We start from the raw sequence: 18,732 nt of genomic DNA on the forward strand, positions 1-18,732 counted from the left end.
AGCAATCTGCAAATGCTATAAATCAGGACTCTCTTTCTCCCACCCCCATCATACCTGATTGTCAAATATTTACTAGTACAGCATAGATCCTACCATACCATTCTACCCCAATGCCCTGTAGAAACTAACATAGGGATGAGAAAGAGATGCAACCTACCTTCTGGTTCTAACATGAATGGTCTGCCTGCTGTTCCTACCCCTACCTCCACCAAGGTTATGGTTGAACATTCCCTGGGGACTCTCAGAGTGACTCCTTTCCTTCACTGCATACCTCAATAGAAGCCCTAATGAGTTTCTGGGAGTGATGGTTTGTGGCACCATGTTGAGAATCACAGTAAGCTTGTTTCAGATGGTGGGTTTTCCTAAGGCTGATGCAGGTACAGAAACTAGAGACTACTGGCCACATGGCTCTTTTCAAATGTTTCCCACAGAAATATCACTGTCAGTGGAGGATAAACTTGTGTCTTCCTCCTCAGGTCTTGAGGCAAAACTTGAAGCACATCCCTGCATGCTTTAGTTTTGTTTGTTTGTTTGTTTGTTTTTTACTGGCATCATGTTTGTTCATTACAATTTATAGAAATGTGGGCTGCAACTCCATGATCTTTTCATGATTGCTTAATATAGAAATAAACAGTAGACAAAAAAAGAAAAAGAAAAAAATAAAAAAGGAATAAACAGTAGAAACATGCTGTTTATCCTTTTGTGTTTGGGTGGTGAATGGAGACGGAGAAGAGTCCCGAGTTGAACTCCCAAAGCTGAGTTGTGGATGAGCTCAAATTATCGTTGGGCTACTTTGTTCTAGATGACAGTCTGCCTTTCATAGTCGAAATGGATTAAACTAGAAAAACAAATACATTGAGACATTTGCTTTTGCGGCCTGGGTGTTGGTGTTACCTCATCTCTGCAGCATTAAAAAAAAAGGGAGGAATAGGAACTCAGCCAATTTGCCATCAGTCCACAGAGTGAGATTCAGCTCGTTTTGTTGGATTCTGGATGCATGTTTTTCGGCTCTCTTCTGCTGACAATTATATTTAATGGTAATTTAAGAAATTGATTGATGCCATTGAGTCCTATGCAGTTTTACAATTGATTTCTAATCTTCTCTGGAAACTTGAAGATACAGAGAAGAAAAGAAACGAAAGAATGAAGACACTCATCATGTGCCTACTGTGTGCCAGACACTCTCTCTTATGCCATTTCAGTCTCACAATCACCCTGTAAGGGAGAGAAGACCCTGAAGTCTGGGAAGTGAGATGGGCTGCCTAAGGTCACACACCTGGGGTAGCAGGAAGTAGACTCAGTCCTGTTGGGCGTCAGGACCCAGGCTCCTTCCACCTTGCTGCTTCTCCTCATAATCACCAGATGTTTTCAAAATCCAGAGAAGCTGGTGCCAAACTCAATTTTTCACAAACCAAGCAGAGACTAGAGCTCCTTGTGTGGGGAGATATGTCCAGGGGATGTCCTGCCATCAGTGTCCTCCTAGAGCTGGGGGCATTTGGCCAGAGTGCCCCAAAGGGGTGCAGGATCATTCCTGTGGTGGTGAAGCAGGGGGGACCAACCCATGAGCAGCTGCAAGAGGAGAAATGGAGGCAAAAAGAGCAGTAACAACTACTGAAATTAATCTATCCCCTCCTCTGCACTGGTCACCTTGCTGGGCCAGTTCTCATCCTGACCCTACAAGGAAGGTATCATTATAAGCATTTTACAGATGAAGAAGAAACTGAGCCTCAGAGAGTTGACACAACTTGGCCAAAGTCACACAACAAAGTTTTCTCCTGGAATTTGAACCAAAGACTATAGGGCTCTAAACTCTGTGCTTTTTTTTTTTTTTTTTTTTTTTTTTTGAGACTGAGTCTCGCTCTGTCACCAGGCAGGAGTGTAGTGGCGCAATCTCGGCTCACTGTGGCCTCTGCCTCCTGGGTTCAAGCGATTCTCCTGCCTCAGCCTGCAGAGTAGCTGGGACTATAGGTGCATGCCACCATGCCCAGCTATTTTTTTTGTATTTTTAGTAGAGATAGGGCTTGACCACATTGGCCAGGAAGGTCTCGATCTCTTGACCTCATGATCTGCCTGCCTCCGCCTCCCAAAGTACTGGCATTACAGGTGTGAGCTACCACACCCGGCCAGTTTGTGCTGTTTCTACTGTGCCAAGCCATCCTCTGGAGGTAACTTTGAGGTCCATTTTCTTTTTCTCTCCCATTGCAGACCACTTTGGGGACTGCTTTTTATGTAGGTTGCTTGTCATGTTTTCTTTTTCTATTTCATTGTCCCTGCATATTATTTACCCCTTTGCTTTTCCCTGACATTCTCCTCATCATTGTGGTTTTTCCTCCCCAAGTAGCAACCGTCATCTGGGGTCATCTTTGGCCTCTTTCTGCAGGTACACAAACCTGCTGCTGTTCCCTTCTGTTGGAGCTGCTGCACTCCCCCTTCCATACCCGAAACCAGTACAGAAAAAGCATATCTGCAACAGACATACCTGGAGGGTGAGGGCCAAATAAAAGAAATGGTAGGTTTTGGTGTTCTGTACAGTCAGTGAGATTTCTTGGTAGGAAACCTAGAAGGATTTCTAAACCCAGCCATCACTGCTATAGCCTCCAAAAGGACTTCCCAGGAAAAAAATGTCAAACTGGAGGGATAAACAAATATTGGTCTTGGCTACTTTGGCTGTTCATCTTTCCAGAAATAGGACCTGGGGAGGTGGTCTTCTCAGACAGGGTCTGTCCAGTTTTTCCCATCATATTGGGTTCCACTTTATTAAATGGAAAATTTGAAAATAGCACCTCAAACTCAACACGTCCCACATTCAACTTGTATCCTAGTACCCCACACATTTGCATCTTCCCTGTGTTTCTTTCCTTAGAGAATGGCTCCCACTCTCTGCAAATTCAGTCAAGCTAGGAACCTCAGGGTTAGCTGAGACTTCCCCTCTCCTGGACCCCCTTCCACCTTCAGTCCCTGAGCGATGACAATTCATTTTGCTTTCTTGTTGATTTCCAAATCTGCTGCGAAAGAGGAAGATTCCTCATTGCTGCACTTCCTGCCTGCGTTTAGGCTTGCATCCTCTCTCCCTGGACAGCTGTGCTGGCCTCCTGGTCATTTTCCCTGCCACAAGCATTGTTGTGCCAGTCCAATCTCCTAATCTATACCTTCTGTCCTGCAGCCAGAATGAGCTTCCCAAAGTACAGATCTAATCATGTCACTCTCCCGTGATTTCATCTTGTCACAGTCTCCCTGATACTTCCAATATAAAATCTTAAACTACTTTGGCCAGCCTGTAAGACCCTTTGTGATTTGGCCCCCTCTTACCTTGTTCTGAGTCATTTTTCACCTCTTCCCACTCCTTCCTGTGCTCCGCACATTTTGAACCACTTCATTTGGAAGTTTAAGTAGTTATCACTCCTTGTGGCTCCCTGAAACATATGTTTCCGTTTTGTTTTGCTTTTTAGACAGGGTCTTGCTCTGTCACCCAGGCTGAAGTGCAGTGGTGTGATCATGGCTCACTGCAGCCTCAACCTCACAGGCTCAAGTGATCCTCCTGCCTCAGCCTCCCACGTAGCTGAGATTACAGGCATGCACCACCATGCCCTGCTAATTTTTGCATTTTTTTGTAGAGATGGGGTTTCACCATGTTGCCCAGGCTGGTCTCGAACTCCTGGGCTCAAGCGATCCACCTGCCTTGGCCTCCCAAAGTGCTGAGATTACAGGCGTGAGCTACTGTGTCTGGCCAAAGTATGTGTTTTTATCCCCACTTTTAAGTGAAGAATCTGAGCCTCAAATCACAGAGCTGCTAAGTGGCAAAAGCTGATTTTAAAGACAAGCCTCGCTGACTCTGAAGATCAGGGTCTTTAAGACAGAATAGGGGAGCCTGGTGTACTTCGTGGAGTCCTCCAGGTCTGCAATGAGGAAGAGGAGGAGGTGGAAACATTGCGACTCAGAAAGCCCTGACATCATCTCACTGTAGCCCTATCCTTTTTCTCTGACCCAGATGGTGTTGCAGATGTGAGGGGTGACTGAGCCCCAAGATTAATAATCTTTGCAAAACTCACTGGGGCCAAGGAGAAAGCAAACCATTCATCATGTGAACTGTGCTCAGATTCCATTGCTTGAGTTTAATCAGACTAATGAACCAGCTGGCTTCCTTTCTAAAATGATTTCTGCTGTTTCCATAACTGAATAACAGCACAGCAGGATTTGAAAGGAAGAGAGAAGAAAATTCGACTGGGGAGAAAAGACATCCTCCAAGTTAGCCAGCTGACAAGTTGGCTGTGCTGGTAAATGCCGGGCAGAGTGGCTGGGGTATGAGGAGGAACTGTGTGGGACCTTGCTGATGTCCAGTCCAGGCCTATTATCTCCAAGCAAATGTTCTCAAGGAAGAGAGGAGACTTTTTAAAGGGTGGATAAGGACAGCTCCAGGGGACTTACAGGCCAGTGTGCTCAAAGAACAGCCAGGGTATTGAAGGAAGCTGAACCCAATGAATACATTCATTTATCTAACATTTATTGATTCTGCCGTGTGCTGCAATATTTTAAACACTGAAAATACAATGATGGGCTCTGCCTCAAATAGTTTAAAATCAAGGCAATTATTTTCAAATATCTTTAAACCACAAAATCATTTGTTCAAACAAAGCCTTTAAGATAAACCCAACAGTGAAACAAAGGCAAAGCTCTATGTGGCCCCAATGAGCCCCTTCTGAACACTACACAGAGTTAAGTGGACCATGCTGAGGAGCAGGACTCGTGGGCAGAGGACACAGAACTGTCTTCTAACATTTGATGGTGATCCTGGGGAAGAAGGGTCTGATGTATCCATTGTGGTTCCATGTTAGTCAAAACTCTATTAAGAAGAAACAACAGAAAGTGAACCCAAACCGCTGAATTATCAAGCTGCAGGAAGAACAGGGAAATGAATGGATCTCATGAACAACTGGAATCAGGGATGGAATGTCATCAGTTCTGTATCTTCCCCTCCCCTTTCCTCCTAAGCCCAATCTTATCTCTGCTTCTTTCTGAACTTCAGCCTCATCCTCTCACACTCCAGACCAACTTTCTCTAGATGGCAGAAAACAATGATATCTTGTCTTGGTTCTAACTTTTAAAATCCCAGGGAAGGAATTTGATTGACATGAGTGAAGTGCTCACTCTTGGACCAACCATCTGTGGCCTATGTGGAGGAGAAGATGATAGAAGCTCCAGCTGATTTCGTGGGGCTGGAAGGAAGTTCCACGGAACTCTCTTAAAGGACCCAAGGGATAGAATCAGAGACAACAAGCCAAAAGTTAGAGGGAAATACATCTTGGCTCAAGAAAAGAAAAAAGTCCTAATGGTCAGAGATGAGAAAGAGTTTCTCCTGCTGCTTCTAGCAGAATAGAATACATTTTTCATGTGATTCCCTCATGTGCTTTACTCAGAGTCAGCCAGGCTGCCTATTTATTTAGGAAAAGTTTTTTGCAGGTTTTGTTTTAGAGCGCACAGGATGTGATTGATAGGCTCTTCTTACAGAATGCCTAAGTATGTCATGTTGGGCTGAACCTCTCCTTGTTCAGTAGTAATAATAGTAATGATGGCTACTGAATGTCATGGCATTAATTTCACACTTTATCTTACTTAATCTTTGAATAAGTCCCTTAGGATGAGTTTTATCTCATTTTTCTTATAAGGAAACCAAGAGTGAGAAAAGTTAGGCAACTTGCTCAAAGTTACTCAGTGACTAAGTGGTGGAGCTGGGATTTGAACTGCAAAGTCTTGCTATTAATCGCTGCCCTATATTGCCTTCAAGACCCATCCTCCAACGCTAACCCCGTCTGTGTCTTTTTTGGCCAGGATAAGTGCCTGCTTGACATTCAATTGGCTCTGGGGCTTTTGAAATTATCATTTTAGCATGAAAAATGTCAGTGCTAGAGACAGAATGAGTGACCAGGAGAGATATTGAGGTAGGGATGGGAATGATTTAAAAGCAGAAGATTGGCTGGGTGCGGTGGCTCATGCTTGTAGTCCCAACACTTTGAGAGGCCAACGTGGGCTGATCACCTGAGGTCAGGAGTTCGAGACCAGCGTGACCAAAATGGAGAAACTCTGTCTCTACTAAAAATATAAAAATTGGCCAGCTATGGTGGTGCATGCCTGTAATCCCAGCTACTTGGGAGGCTGAGGCAGGAGAATTACTTGAACCCAGGAGGTGGAGGGCGCAGTGAACCAAAATCACACCACTGCACTCCAGCCTCGGTGACAGAGTGAGACTCCTTTAAAAAAAAAAAAGCAGAAGATTAAAATTCATTCATCCACTCATTCCACAGACATTTGCTGAATTCATAATACTCTAGAGATAACTCAAAGTACCTTCTAGTCTACTCCATACTCTACATTCTAAGGGAGTCCCCACCCAGAGGCCTTGCCTCAGTGAGTGGCCATGAACATTTGAGTACCCATGTCCTATGCCATATGGTAGCCCACACACTGACACCCTGACTGGGCCATTTGATCACCTGACATAAGGATGGCCAACTAACCTAGAGGTTGGCCAGTGGTTATAACTTGGGCTTGCCTTGAAAAGATGAGCTGGGACAAAAGGATCCTCCTGCTCTGAAAACCTAAGCCAAGAGACACAAAGAGAAATTGCCAGTTAGCTCTGGGAAGAGAGGGACAAACTTATGGGTTTGGGTGCTGGTATGGCCATATGGATTGGATGACCAAACATCCCAGTTTGCCATGGAGAATCTCAGTTTATCCCAGCATAATTATGACTAGGATCCCTTTCTCTCTCATAAGTATCCTAATTTGGAGGAAAAAACTATTCAATCACCCTAATTATGGACCATGATGGGATGCGGAGTGGGAAAGGAGAGGGAGGAGAGACGAGACTGGGGTCAGGCCTTGAAAAGCCCTGTGGGTTAGGTTAAGGAGTCTTGATTTTTGTGCTGAAGACAATGGGGATTTTAAGCATGAAAAGTATGAGTTCAGATTTTTTTTTGCTTTTAGAAAGAGTACTCTGATAAAGCGTGAACAGCAGATCAGAGATAGGTGGAAGTGGAGGCAAGGAGATCATCTGGGAGGCTCATTGAACAATCCAGAGAAAGGCTGGCTGGAACTAGACTAAGTGACTGCAGAGATGAGAAGGCAGATGTGCTCAAGGAATATCCAGGAGAAAGAGTTGAAAGAATTTTGGAGACTGATTAAATTTTGGGGGGATGAGGGAGAGAAAGGTGTTAGGAGGGAGAGCAAACTTCTTGTTTGGGCAGCTGGTGAACAATGCCACCTTTCACCTAGAAGGTGTTGCTGGTGGCCGGAAGATGGAGAGTATAGCTTTGAACATGTTGGTTTTGAAGGCCATTGCGTTAGTCAGAGTTCTCCAGAGAAACAGAGCCGACAGAAGGATGGATGGATAGATAGATTGATTGATATATTAAAGGAATTGGCTCACACCATTGTGGAGGTTGAGAAGTCCCACAATCTGCCATCCACAAGCTGGCAAACCAGGAAATCCATTGATACCTGCAGTTGGAGTCTGAAGGCTCAAGAGCTAGGAGCTTCAGTGTCAGGGGCAGGAGAAAATGGATATCCCAGGTTTTCTTCTAGGGTTTTTATGGTTTTAGGTAACATAAAAACCTTAGAAGAAAACCTAGGCATTACCATTCAGGACATAGGCATGGGCAAGGACTTCATGTCTAAAACACCAAAAGCAACGGCAACAAAAGCCAAAATTGACAAATGGGATCTAATTAAACTAAAGAGCTTCTGCACAGCAAAAGAAACTACCATCAGAGTGAACAGGCAACCTACAAAATGGGAGAAAATTTTCGCAACCTACTCATCTGACAAAGGGCTAATATCCAGAATCTACAATGAACTCAAACAAATTTACAAGAAAAAAACAAACAACCCTATCAAAAAGTGGGCAAAGGGTATGAACAGACACTTCTCAAAAGAAGACATTTATGCAGCCAAAAGACACATGAAAAAATGCTCATCATCACTGGCCATCAGAGAAATGCAAATCAAAACCACAATGAGATACCATCTCACACCAGTTAGAATGGCAATCATTAAAAAGTCAGGAAACAGGTGCTGGAGAGGATGTGGAGAAATAGGAACACTTTTACACTGTTGGTGGGACTGTAAACTAGTTCAATCATTGTGGAAGTCAGTGTGGTGATTCCTCAGGGATCTAGAACTAGAAATACCATTTGACCCAGCCATCCCATTACTGGGTATATACCCAAAGGACTATAAATCATGCTGCTATAAAGACACATGCACACGTATGTTTATTGTGGCACTATTCACAATAGCAAAGACTTGGAACCAACCCAAATGTCCAACAATGATAGACTGGATTAAGAAAATGTGGCACATATACACCATGGAATACTATGCAGCCATAAAAAATGATGAGTTCACGTCCTTTGTAGGGACATGGATGAAATTGGAAATCATCATTCTCAGTAAACTATCGCAAGGACAAAAAACCAAACACCACATGTTCTCACTCATAGATGGGAATTGAACAATGAGAACACATGGACACAGGAAGGGGAACATCACACTCTGGGGACTGTTGTGGGGTGGGGGGAGGGGGGAGGGATAGCATTAGGAGATATACGTAATGCTAAATGACGAGTTAATGGGTGCGGCACACCAGCATGGCACATGTATACATATGTAACTAACCTGCACATTGTGCACATGTACCCTAAAACTTAAAGTATAATAATAATAATAAAAAATAAAAAATTAAAAAAAAAAAGAAAATGGATATCCCAGCTCAGGAAAAGAGAGAGAGAATTTTCTCTTCCTCCTCCTGTTTGTTCTATACAGGCTGTCAACAAATTAGATGGCACCCACCCACATTGGTGAGGGTGATCTTCCATACTCAGTCTACTGATTCCAGTGCTAATCTCTTTGAGAAACACCCTCTCAGACACACCCAGAAGTAATGTTTTCCCTGCTATCTGGGCATCCCTCAGCCCTGTCAAGCTGACATGTGCAATTAACCTTTGCAGTTATCAAAGTGGCAGCTAAATGATTAGAACTCAATTAAGGAAGAGGGGTCTTGGCTGAAGATGCTAAATGGTGTGTGGTTGTCAGGGAGGTAGTTTCATTCATGGGAACGGAAACAGCACCCAGAAAAGATGAGTAGGGTGAGGAGAAGGCGGGTGAGAGAGATGAGTCGTGAGGACAACCCTCACAGCTGACTGTACTTCTGTGTTTCTTACTCTCCTTTGTATTCTAGTTATATTTTTTTCTTGCCATTCTCCGCCGTAGACTGCAATCTTTTTGAGGTCTGGCACCCTTGTAATCCGTGAGTCACTCAGCATAGTGCATTTACATAGCACATTGTTAGTATGTATTTGGCTGAATGATGGAAGTGTTTTAAAGGCCCATGAGATTGACCACCAAGAGGTCACTGATAACCTTGGGTGGGTATTTTTTCATGATGTGCTGGGGCAGATGCCAGGGTGCAATGTTACATGGAACAGAGGGTGATGGGAACACAAACCAGTAACTCAAGCTATAATCTGGGCTGCCTCCCTTTCCTCTAGCCCATTCTCTTGTTACAGTAGGTAGCTAGTCAGACATGAGCAGGGCAGGAGAGTGCCAAACCCCACCAGGAATGTCAGGCAACCATCAAGTGTGGTCAGGTGGCGTTAAGCTGTCTCTCTAAAATAATAATTGGTCACAGCCAGTGCCAGAGAAAAGCAGTCTCCCGATAGATGGAAAAAAACCTGAAACTGGTGATCAGCATCTTCCCAATAAGATTTCAAGATTTGGTTGAGTGGGCTCAAGCATGTACACTAAGAGGCAAAATGGTGGAGTTTAACTGGTGTGCGACCTTCTAGGAACATTGAACTGGTAAGGGAAGAACGCCTCAAGTGAGCATGCGTGCAACTCCAGTAAACACGCTGCACATGCAGCTCCTTCCAAGGGCTGGCAGGCCACTGTGCATGCAGAGAGCCCACCCTAAGGGAAGAATCAGGAGAGGAGAGATGCAAACTCTGGAAGCATGCCAACATTTAAAGCCCCAAGTCAAAGGTCAAACTGCGCACTTGATCTCTCAAGTCGCCTGCTTGGCTCTCTTCCAAGTGTACTTTACTCCCTTTTGTTCCTGCTCTAAAGCTTTTTAATAAACTTTCACTCCTGCTCTAAAACTTGCCTTGGTCTCTCACTCTGCCCTGTGCCCCTCGGTTGAATTCTTTCTTGTGAGGAAGCAAGAACTGAGGTTGCTGCAGACCCGTATGGATTCGCCGCTGCTAACATAATTTGGTACCTCATGACTCAGATATGTTCCCTAGTGGTAACTCTCTCACACCTCACATTTTGAAGGAGGTATTTTTAATTATTCTTGAATAAAGGAATTGAGTCATTTGGGAGGGACAATAGCAAAGGGAGGAGTCAGAATGTCTATTGACCTGTTTTGTTTTTCCCTTTAAGGGTAATGCCACTAGAAAACCAACAGTACCACAATGTAATAGGAAGCATTATACTACGTGAAACTCCAGCTCTGTACTTGGGAAGGGCACCATTCAGATAGCCCAGAATCATAGGAAGAACTTTGGAATTTGAAATCAGATCAACCTGGGGCCAGTATCCAGGTCTATGCTTTACTTACCTAATAGCTTTGTAAACTTTGTAAAGTTTCAATATCTCTGAATATTAAGTCACTTATCAGAAAAATGGGCATAATAGTGAGTACCTTTCAGTTTGCATAGCTAATCCATGGGTAACAGAAACTGAAACTTACAGAGGTTTTATTTACATACTCAAGGCACTTGGCTAGTAAGTGATAGAGCTGGGATTTCGACCCAGCTGTCCTCAGTTTTGGTGCTTTTGTACTTTCTAGGGCACACCGCTGCTTGGCACACCGATGACTTGTACATGCCCTCAACTCCTCTTTGGGAATGAAACAAGGCATAAATAACTAGAGAAATGCTCAGATCAAGAGTATATCAAATCCTCTTCCTTATCCTCATTTTCCTTGGGACCTTAGGAAAACCTCTATTATCACTGAGGTTTCTCATCTCAGGTTGGGAAATTATACGGCCCACTACACAGGCTAATTTTGAGGCTTAGAAGAGTTAATGTCAACAAAGGCACCCAGCAGTGTTTACACAGTAGGTGCTAATGAAATGGTAGCTAAGGGTGATTCTAACTTTGGGGTGTGGGGTTAGCTCTTCTAACAAGCTTTGCTGATAATGACAGTGATTGTTGCTGTGGTGGAGGTAGTTGTAGTAAGAAAAGCATTAGCTAACATTTGTAGAACACTGGAAAATCTTCACGTGCCAGGAAGTAAGTCTCATTTAAATTCACGACAACCCTGTTAAACAGGTGTCATTATTTATTCCCATCTTACAGATAAAGATAGCAAGGCATGAAGAAAGAGAATAAGTAACATGCCCAAAGTCATCTAGTTAGTAAGCAGTAGAACAGGGATCATATCCAGGGCTCAGTGTATCAGTGATGTTTCCACCTCCAGTGGATTCCAACACATGAACCCCAGGGTTTGGTCATAATTTATTCCCTTTGTGGGGTCTTTTGTGCTAAAAAGGAAATAGGAAGGCTCCTCACAAGCAGACCCGGCTGGTTTCCTTACCGTAATTCTGGGAGCTGATTCTGGGCTTTCGAGGACAGTGCTAACAGCTAGGCTAGAGGGGAGGCCATTGTCATGAAGTCATTGTCTCTAAATGGCTCCTTAACCCCAGCCTGTACTTCTGTGGCCCTGTGGCCTGCCAGTTCCCACTGAGAGACCCTGCCAGCCTTGCTGAGGCCACCGGGAGGGAGAGACGCGTGGGCTAAAGGCTGGAGAGACCCTCACATAGAGACTGGGAGAGAAGCAGAGTGAGAAAACCTGCTGAGTGAACTGAGTGGATGGGCAGCAGGGAGTCTGCCAGTCCGCTCATCTGTATGCTCTGAGGCTGAGAGCTGTGCGGAAGCCACTGCCCGGGCAGCGTCATTCGAATGTGGGTCATGAACCAATCGAGGCTCAGAGGCACCGTTCTGAGCTTCTGGGGGTTCTGATCCCATTCCCTGCTTGCCCCTGTCCTCTGTCCAACAATGAGATCGGCCTGTGGGTGTGGTATGTACATTCCCATACCAGAGAAGCAGAAAAAAACGAAAGTCCTGGGATCCATCCCCATCCCAGAATCCAGTCCCAGGACTGTGTCCTCTCACTCTCCCTGAAGCCGCTCTGGAGTCCTCTCCCCCAGATTGTTGGCAAAGCTGCAGAGCTTCTGATTCAGTGACATTTTACAGGATCACTGTGTTCTTTCTTTAGAGCCATTTCAGATAGAACTGAGAACAGGAAGCCCACTGTCTCAGAGGATTAGATCGAGAATGGTGTTCCCCCAGCAGCTGAAGGCTGCAGGGTCTCAGAGCAGTGGGAGAGAAGAGGGAAGGAACCAACACCCCTTGTGTTCCAAGACTTGCATCACGTATTTTCACATATTGTCTTTTCTTTTAATCCTCTCAGGAATACTAGAAAGCGGGCAAAACTGTCCCCATTTACAGGTAGAGAACTGAGGCTGAGAGGGATAAAAGTGGCTTGCCTAAGATAATTCAGCAAAGTAAGTAGCCTGAAAGGCTTTAACACCAGTTTTCTCTAATTCTCCATGATGACTGTTCCTGCATGTCATGCATCCCCCAAGTTTTGCCACAAGCCAGGATTCCTGGGACACATTGCTGGGTTATAAGTCAATGCTGAATGTTGTGAGTTGGAGGTGCTTGCTTGTGCAGAGGGGGTCATTGTGCCTTATCCCCTTCTACAGAGTCTTAATCTAAGTCTGTCAGAAATTCTCATGGAAAGGCCAAAAATTCTGGAGCAGGAGGAAAATGTGTGGGTCATTTAATTCAAATTCCCAATTCATGAATTAAAGTTACAGTACCTAAAATAAACAGTTTGCTAGTTTGTGCTTGGAGATTTATAGATTGTAAAGGACTTTTATAAAGGGAGGAATTTTTATAAGAAATAGTAACAAGTGGCCGGGCGCGGCGCGTCATGCCTGTAATCCCAGCACTTTGGGAGGCCGAGGCGGGCAGATCACCTGAGGTCAAGAGTTCGAGACCAGCCTGGCTAACATGGTGAAACCCCGTCTCTACCAAAAATACAAAAAATTAGCTGGGCATGGTGGCAGGTACCAGTAATCTCAGCTAGTGGGTAGGCTGAGGCAGGAGAATTGCTTGAACTAGGAGGCGGAGGTTGCAGTGAGCTGAGATCGCGCCATTGCACTCCAGCCTGGGCAACAAGAGAGAAACTCTGTCTCAAAAAATCAAAAAAAAAAAAAAAAAAAAAGAAAGAAACAAGCGAGATTTGACCCCCACAAAGCACAGACTTACACATCAAACACCCAGAATTATGTGGTGGCAGTGGTCATGATGAAGGTGGTGTGGGATTGGTAACAGTAGTGATGGTGGCAGTGATGATGGTCATGATGGAGGTGGAGGTGATGATGGAGATGAGAATGACAATAATTACAACAATGAGGGGAGAGTGGCCATGATGGTGTTGGTGGTTATAGTGGTAGAACTGGCAGTGATGGTGGTAAGGGAGGACAATGGGGGGTGGTAGTGGAGGTAGAGGTGGCAATGATGGTGGCAGTGTAAGTAGTAAGGCCAGTGGTGGAAGCAATGTTGGCAGAGGAGGTGATGGTGGCCAATGATGAAGGTAGTGGTGATAATGGTGGTTGGAGATGAAGGTAGAGATGAAGGAGGAGGTGCAAGGGTGGTAATGGTGGTTAGAGATGGAGAGGGAGGAAATACTAGAGGAGGAGGAAAGGATAAAGGTGGAAATGGGGGTAGGGGTGATCTTGGGGAAGAAAGCGTGTCTCACTCTCTAAGATTTCTTGCGAGTTGGAGTCCCCAAAGCCTGAGGCACCAGTGCACATGCGGAAAGCCCCAGGCCCAGTAATGACAGAGCGTGATTTCCTTCCCAGGTGCTACAGTTGGGTTTGTTTGTCCCCTGCAAATCTCATGCTGAAATCTGATTCCCAATGCTGAGGTGGACTTCATGGGAGGCATTTGGGTCATGAGGTGGTTGGGTCATGGATGGACCCCTCATGAATAGCTAATGCCCTCCCTGAGTCAGAGGGTGGGGAGGTTGTTGGCTGAGTTCTCACTGTATTAGCTCCCATGAGAGCTGGTTGTTAAAAAGAACCTGGCACCACATCCCCTCTTGCTTCCTGTCTTACCACTCTATCTCTGCATATGCCAGCTCTACTTTGCCTTGTGCCATGAATGAAAGCAGCCTGAGGCCCCCACCGGAAGTAGATGCTGGTGCCATGCTCCTTGTATGGCCTGTAGAACCATGAGCCAAATAAATCTCTTTTCTTTATAAATTATGCAGCCTCAGGTTTTCCTTTATATCAATAGCAACATAAATGGACTAAGACACCAGGACACTAAACAATTGTCCAGATTGCCCCAGGGTAACTCATCCCTGTGAGGAGAATGAATAAATCCATGGATGTCTCCTGGCCTGTATCGCTAAGGGTGCTGCTTTGTTCTGGTGTCTGCCTAGGCTGGAATCCTGCATGCCAAAGCCATTGGCCTTCATTCCCATGTGGCCAGGGGATAGGGCCCTCAGGCTTGATAGAGTTATCTAAGCTGCGTGGGAATGCTTATGATGGAAACAATCAGGTCCACACACTCTAACACATTTCCTCTGATAGGCACATATATACTCACACACTCTGACACATCCACACACACATATCTGCACACACAGAGAGAGTTTCTGCAGAAGCTCATGCTCTTTGTCTTTAGAGCCAGTAGACAGAGGATGGAGTGTGTGCTCAATATGCAACATGTCCACCTCCACCATCCTGATCTGGAGTGGTTATGTAGTGCTGGCAGCTTTGCCACTGACTCAGCCACTGAGACACCACCAGTGAAGAAAAATGAGGTTGTTTGCCTCTCTGAAGTGAGAGCACACCAGATGAAGACTCACAAAGGGTGGCCTTGACAGCAGCTATTGATGGCCCCACGCTTGCCTCCAGGTTTGCCTTCTATTTCATTCTAGCGACCCTCTCATCTGTCAGGAGTAATATACGGGATATTTGATGAAAACATCCTCCATTCTGTGTTATCTGTATTGATTTGTATGGCTCATTGGCTTCCCTTCAGAAGTGGCTAGTTGCAAGGCTGGCTTAGTACAGCCTTGACCCGTAAGACTCCTGCTGTTTATTATGCTCCACAGTACTCCTTCCCCACAAAAACACGTGTGGTTCATACTCCATGCAACCCTCTATCCACCACCTCAAGCACTCCTAGTGGTACCACCCAAATCATAGATTCACTGAAGTGCCTTCCTTTAATACGATTTCTTAATTCCTTACATGGAGTAAGTAATAATCTCTAGAGCAAGAAGGCAGAAGAGCATGTGAATGTCATTCCTTCTTTGGTGCCTGGTGCTTAGGCGGCATTTAGAACATGTGTGTTCCAGGAAAGGCATGGGGGCTGGGGGATACAGGTGTAGAAGCTCTGCGTGTTTTCAAGGCCACATTAACCATGGTGCAGGGAAAGAGTCAACCCAAAACTTGGACGGTCTCCAGGAACAGAGGCCCCAGCTCAACACAACCACACCATATATATGGTTTCCTAGGTCTACAGGCTGTAAAGACAGCCACCAGGCAGTCCCTGCCTGGATGGCTTTGCACAAGACAATGGCACATGTTGGTACCTAGCAGTTCTCCAGAGACCCAATTTTAATGGTTTCTTTTATATCATAATTGCCTCCATGAAGACAAGTTGGCCCATGACAACTATAGCCTTTTGAAATTCTGGACAGTGACTCAGAGATTAGCCAGAAACCACACCGTGTCATCTGCAGGCACAAGACTTAGGCACTGTATGTACCTGGCAAGAATGTCTTTGCCATCCTGCCTAAATTCCACCCTAGATACAAGGAGAGGCCCTCAAATTCCAGTGAACAAAAGAAGAAAAGGCCAGTTTTAAGGAAATTGCCATTTACTTGAAAAAATAATACCCAGACTCTCTGTAGCAAATTCTGCTGGTTGCCAAGTGAATTTACCAACTGAATCCTCATTTTATTCAAGGATCCATCCATTACCAACTTGGGGCATTGCACTGGCATCTGTTTCTGATCCAGATGTGGGAATATGTATTTGATGCCTTCATTGATACCCAGATTGCATCATGCCTGGGCCTCCAGTTATGTCAGATAATACATTTCCTTATTGTTTCCGTCAGTTCGGTTCCATATGTTCTGTTCCTTACAGCCACAAAGATACTAAGTGAGATGCTTTGCAACACTAGCTGGAGAGGAAGATTCTCCATGTCTCCATGTGAAGAGAGGCAGAGAACAACACAGCCCCGCTCTTCTTTCCAGAAGGTCATCTCCCATGGTGACCTCAGAGGGCACTGCTCCTCTTTAATTCCCCAACCACAATCCTTTTATAAGCTCCACCCATAGAGCAGAGGGCAGGCTGGAGTATTTAAACAACCCTATCCCAGTGCTCTGGGATATCAATAGGAAAATAAGCATGGAGAACAATTTGTAATGAGATAATCTGGTTTTCAACATGTGATTTGGTTTTCTTCAGATTGTGGCATTGGTTTTCATTCAGTCTTTATATGATGGGCTCCACCTAGCATCATAGAGTCATGCCTTAGAGATCTATGCTCTTTGACATCTAGTCTGTGAGTGTGTGTGTGAGAAAGAGAGATACAGGGAATTCTCTCTCCCACTTCTCCGTTTCCTGTCTCAGGTCCTGCCTCTTCCTACACGATGATTGACTCAGGAAAGTCCACATTTCCCAGTCATAGGAAGAAGTCCTACTTAAGGCCACAACAGTTGCCTACCTGCAATGAATATTTATTGAATAATGAATGAGAAGAAAACTCCATCCCAGTTCAAGACATGACTCCAGCACTGATACAAGAGCCAGAAATAGGCTATAAGGGGGATAAGAGGATTAGTATAAGACATCTAGTGAGCCACACCTTTCCACCTACTGTGGATCCCCAGATCAGCTGGGCCCATGCCTGTACAGCCCCTGTTGAGCACAACATGAAGAGGCATTACAGCACATCTCCTCCAACCCATATTGGCAGTGGAGTGTGGTAGGAGTGGAATATGGGCCCATTGCCTGGCCTTGATCCCTTTTCTGCCATCTGCTTGTTGTGTGAACTTAAGCAAGTTATTTAGTTCTGTGGGCCTCAGTTTCTTCTTGTTCAAGCCTACTATATATGTAGCCATGATGATTAAAAAGATAAAATATATACCTGTGCCTGGTGCACTAGCAGTTTCCTAGTATGTGGTAGTTTTAGTTATTAGTAACCACTTAGCCAGTTTCCCACTTCTTCCCTTGACCTATTTCAGACACTCCTAGCTATCTCTTTGTAGCTCATTCTTCTGTTGATCTTCAATGTTATCTTCAGATTTGGCATACAAATTATTCCTTCCCAAGTTCCAATATTGGTGTTGACAATGTCCGACAGACATTCTTGGAGAATGACCACTGGCACTTCCAGACCCTAGAACTCTTCTTGTTTAGATGTGATCCCGGGTGCACTTCTACCCATCACATCTAGACAGGACTCTGGTGGCAGCCAGAAAAGACTGTCCCCAGGTTGAAAAAAGAGCCCAGAAGGCAGCCCCCGTGGAAATGTTGGAGAGGCGCATGGATCTCACTTGAGCTTTTGTCATCTCAACAATACGACTGCATCGAATGGCGTACCCCCATGCCAGCTTGGAGAGGAAGCAATCTGGGCATGGCCAGCTTGCTAAAGGGTTTGACCTCTCTCAATAAGGCCTGTCTGCCTGGGGTGGACCAGAGCCAACAGAATCTTCTGGGGCTACTACAGCCAGATACCTTTCAATGGGTTTTGCCGTTGATCTTAATCAATATAAGGAGGCAGAAACTGGATTGATAAATAAAAAGCAATCCTGGCCTGAAAGGCTTATGTTCAGAAATTCTCACCATTTCAAATAAATTTACCCAGTATTTGCGGGACATCTCCCATGAACCAGTCACTAACTATACTTGGCCATGTGATTACAAAGATGAGTAAAAGGCACTTCTCTTCTGGAGAGGCTCAGAGCCTCTAGAGAGAGGCAGGGGTGTGAGCAGATGGGGGTAGAGTAGGGTAATAATGATTATAGATTCCAAGACAGGGGCATAAATGAGGTGCAAAGGGTGCACTAAGGAAACAGAGGTCAGTTCGCCTGGGAGTAGGAGGTCAGAAATGGCTTCACAGAAAAAGTGACTCACGTATCATGAGTTCCATGATATTTATTAACTGACAAAACAGCACTAATTTCTGTGCTAAGGCATTTCACAGGCATTATCCCGTTTATACTTCACAAAAATCATGTGAAGTAGATATTATTCCTGATTTTCAAAGATGTGAAAAGGTAAGTCCAAAAGTTGCATGGCTAATCACGATGTTGGAGCTTTGACAGGATTTTAACTCTCAGTCTGACCACTCAAGTGCCCTAACTTTGGGGCCTTGTTTTGCCCATGCACACAAGCCTTAGTTATATAAGGGGATGCCTAGATGTCTACTCGTCATTCTGGTGACAGTAAAATACATGCAAATAAAACTCACAGACAGAGTAGCTAAGGTAAGCCTCCCTCCCTCATATCCCTATACTCTCTCAGTTTTGAAGGCATTGAACTTGACAAAACAAACAAACAAACAGACAAAAACTCTTCGCCCTCCAAAGCCACTATTCTTCTCTGTTCCATTACATTGGCCTTGAAATTGACAAAGGAAGGC

The 18,732-nt window shown here is 44.9% G+C and overlaps 1 annotated feature.

Annotated features, from left to right (window-relative positions):
• Positions 10,856–11,357: an enhancer, noted in NCBI's record as "NANOG hESC enhancer chr3:186100205-186100706 (GRCh37/hg19 assembly coordinates)". NCBI's record gives its function as "activates a minimal SCP1, AML or CMV promoter by ChIP-STARR-seq in naive H9 embryonic stem cells {active_cell/tissue: H9 hESC(naive)}" and the evidence as "EXISTENCE:reporter gene assay evidence [ECO:0000049][PMID:30033119]".

This window comes from Homo sapiens, chromosome 3 (genome assembly GCF_000001405.40).
Source record: "Homo sapiens chromosome 3, GRCh38.p14 Primary Assembly".
Taxonomy (NCBI): domain Eukaryota; kingdom Metazoa; phylum Chordata; class Mammalia; order Primates; family Hominidae; genus Homo; species Homo sapiens.